At 34.4% G+C, this 4,028-nt stretch overlaps 2 pseudogenes; both read right to left on the bottom strand.

The window, feature by feature from the left end:
• On the bottom strand, positions 391-1,183 carry GTF3C6P1 (GTF3C6 pseudogene 1; annotated as a pseudogene).
• Positions 3,259-3,357, bottom strand: RNA5SP510 (RNA, 5S ribosomal pseudogene 510; annotated as a pseudogene).

Here is a 4,028-nt window from a genome sequence, read left to right as displayed (position 1 = left end):
TGATAAGCAAGAAAATGGATTCATCCTTCTACCCCTACCGCCAGAGCCTCCAAAAAGGAAAGCAGTCCTGACAATATTTTTATTTTAGCTCAGATGAGACTCATGTCAGATTTCTGACCTATAAAACTTTAAGACAATATATTTGTGCTGTTTTAAGATACTGACTTTGTGGTAATTTGTAACATTTACAATAGAAAATATACACATTTACCTTAATAAAACCTCAAATTTAAAGGAGTTATCAAAGAAGGGTCCCTAAAGTCATTTAAACTATATTTTTTAAAGTTCAATTCATGTCTGATCCTGAATGATTCTGGTATATTAAGTTGTGCTATAACTGGAAATGTGTGTTTAGCCAACAAAAATGACAAAATAGTAACAATTGAAAGCTACAAAGCCAATTATTTTTATATAAAAACTTCAAAAATATCATGACTAGTTATTATGGGAACCATTTTATCTAGGAGTGGTTTGTAAGGCAGCATTTTAAGTTTCCATAAAAACAGAACCTTCTGTTTTAGAAGAGATGTCAGCAACATAACCAGAAACCTCTATTTCCAAGTGCAGTGGTTTCTCCTGTCCATAACTCAGGTTTGAACTAACTTCCATTTGAATCTCTTGCTCTTCCACTTTAATCTCTTGCTCTTCCACCTCCAAAAGTTTATCTGGAGTTGAAGCTACCTACTTCTTCATCTTCATTTTTATGTAGAAGGCTACAAATCATTTTGGGTCTATAGGAGAAATCATTTTCCTGATTATCAGTCATTCCATCCCACCTATATTTTCTTCTCCTTCCTTCTTTTCTGTCAGAAGAGTTACCATGCTGAGCTTCTTCATTGTATGGCATTTATATTTTAGCACTGTTTTATTATTGCCTTCTGCATCTACATTTTCAACATTTTCTTCAAATATAGCATAGGTCCCAAGAGTGTCTTTGTACTCCCCAGCAAAGAGATAGCTGTCCACTTGCAGAATGGGCCTCTCGTTGTAAATTCTCCAAATCTTGCATCTATTTTCACATTTTGAGAAAATCCTGACAATTCTACTGGAATCAACATCTCTGCCTTCAATTCCTCCTCTTCTCCATTCTCTGGACTCCACTTCTTGGCTGCCACCATGGTCCCACGCCTCCTCAGTGCCTCCCCAGTCACTAGCCACCCCAATCCAGAGCTACCATCTTAAGCCCCTTATGATTTTCTTAATAACATTTTCCTCTCTCTAGCTTACTTTAAGAATAACAGTATTTAATTCATATAACATACAAAATATATATTAATTAACTGTTTATATTATTTCTAAGGCTGCTGGTCAATAATACGCTATTAGTAGTTAAGTTTTTACAGAGTCAAAAGTTGTACACACATTTTTGAGTGCATGAGGGTCATATATATGTGTTACAGGTTTAATTAAATTTCACTTTAAAAATAATATTCAGTTAGCCAATGAATGGTAGTGAGTTTTGTTCTGTGTTATTCCTGTGGAGACTGTGGAGGTAAAGCTAACTCTTATTCTATGAACCCTAGTATCTGTGGGAACTAGCTCTTGGGTTTCTATTTCATTATTCTGATGAAAGCTACTTAAATTCTTCATTTCTGAAGGAAAACAAGTAATCTAGTCACATTTGTGTGAGGCAGCTGTTACAATTCTTGACTAGTAAAATAGATTGAATCTGAATACTTACGCTACTCACTTCGTTTATTTGTGCTCAAAGAGAATAGCTTTATAACATGTATAAAATAGTAGCCCTCAAAAATATATATTTGGCATAACGTGCTTTCAACTGCTATCACAACTTCTTTTATAGGAGACATAAAATAAGCACCTAAGTATGTTACCGGAAGAAAATTGCTTGAAAGAACAAGCTTATTCATTTTTATTAATTGAATTTTTTAAATAGAATATTAAAAAGCAAATTTTTGGCATATATAATAACTAGGGAACTACAAAAGTTTTTGTGAAATTCTAAAAGCACTTTTAAGAATAAATTTAAGAAAGTTTTAAATATCCTAAACCCTTCTCAATATATCTATTGAAAGTAGCTTAATTAAAAAAAAACATAGTTATAATACTGGATGAGTGAATACACATTCCTTTTAAGGAAAAATAAAACAAAACAAAATAAACAACAACAACAACAAGAAAACTTACTTTTCCAAAAACTAGGGATACATGGGAGCTTCCTTAATCTAATAAAAGATGAGTGAGAGACTGAGGCAGGGATGCTTTATCTCACCACTACTACTCAATCTTGTACTGGAAGTCCAATCTAGATAAATAAGAGAAAAAATATCTAGCAGGCATACAGATTGGCAAAGAAGAAATAGAACTTCCTTCATTCATAGACAACATGATTTATGTGGAAACTTTTAAATTATCTATAAAACACTCCTGGAAATAACTTTTAAAAAGAGATTAACATGGTTGTAGGAAGCAAGGTCAATATTTTAAAAGTCAATTGATTTCCTATATGCTAACCATGAAAAATTTGAATCCAAAATAATGAAAGAAGACACATCATCTTCAATAGCATTGAAAAAAAGTTTAAAAAGTACTTACACATATACCTAACATAAATGTGCAGGATCTGTATGTGAAAAAGTAAAAAAACACTGAAGGAAAATCATTTTAAAAATGTAAAGAAATAGAAAATATACCATGTTGATGGAATGGAAAAGTCTATATTTTTTCCATTTTTTTCCATGCTCTGTGTAAAGCACTGGAGGTACAAGGAAGAATCCCTGCCTTTAAGGGGCTCACAGTGCAGTGGAGAAAAGAGACAAATAGCCAGGCAATTATAACACAGAGTGAAAAGACTTAAGATGGAATAGTTAGAACTAGCTATCATGAGACCTCACAGGTTGGTCACTTCTCTCAGCCTTGGAGGATCAAAAGAAACTACCTGGAAAAGGCTGCACCTGAGAAGACTCTAAAAAAAGCAGACAGAATCTATCCAAGCTAAGAAGAGGAGGGTTAACAATCCAGGGTGAAGATGAAGCATATGCAAATGCAAACAAAAAATGAGGGAAAGAAGGTGGGATATGCACAAAAAGCCAATCGGAGGGAAGAAAGTTAACAAGAAAGCCAGAGGAGAAAAAGGGATGGGAAGGAAAGAGGAGGGCAAGAAAGGAGAGTATAGGAGGGCAGAGGAGAGAATGTAGCCATAACTGTGAAGCTGCCTTGGTTCTCACACTCCCCACAGTCTAGCCAGTGAATTCTCCTGTGTTCTTGGCATGTAGGTCTTTTTTATACGTTAGCATGTGAACACACTCTCCCATTCAAGTAATAACCAGGCCCAACCCTGCTTCACTTCCAAGATCAGACAAGATTGGGCACATTCAGGGTGGTATGGCTGTAGACCACACTGTCTCTTATAATCAGAATTTCTTTTTAAAATGGTGTACAACATGATGTTTTGATATCTATACCCAATGGGAAATGATTAAATCAAGCTAATTAACATACCTATGCCTTACATAGTTATCATTGTTTTGTGATGTGAACATTTAAGACCTACTGTCTTAGGAATTTTCAAGTATGCAATACATTATTATCAACTATAGTCGTTCTGCTATATATCAGATCTCAGAATTTCTTCCTCCTGTTTAACTGAAACTTTGTGTCCTTTGACAAACATCTCCCAACCACCCTTACCCGCCATCCCCAGCTCCTGGCAACCATCAATGTGCTGTCTGGTTCTACGAGTTCAACTTTTTGAGATTCCACATATAAGTGAGATGACACAGTATTTGTCTTTCTGTGCCTGGCTCATGTGACTTAGCCTAGTATTCTCCAGGTTCATCCACATTGTCACCAACGACAGAATTTCCTTCTTTTCAAAGGCTAAATAATATTCCATTGTATATATATATATGCTCGTGTGTGTGTGTGTGTGTGTGTATATATATATATATAATATATATATGCTCATGTGCTTATATATATTATATATAATACATGTGCATATATATATATATGTATGTATATCACATTTTCTTTATCCTTTCATCCATTTATGGACACTTAAGTTG

The sequence above is a fragment of the Homo sapiens genome, chromosome X, assembly GCF_000001405.40.
Source record: "Homo sapiens chromosome X, GRCh38.p14 Primary Assembly".
NCBI lineage: Eukaryota > Metazoa > Chordata > Mammalia > Primates > Hominidae > Homo > Homo sapiens.
This window is presented reverse-complemented; position numbering and strand designations above follow the sequence as displayed.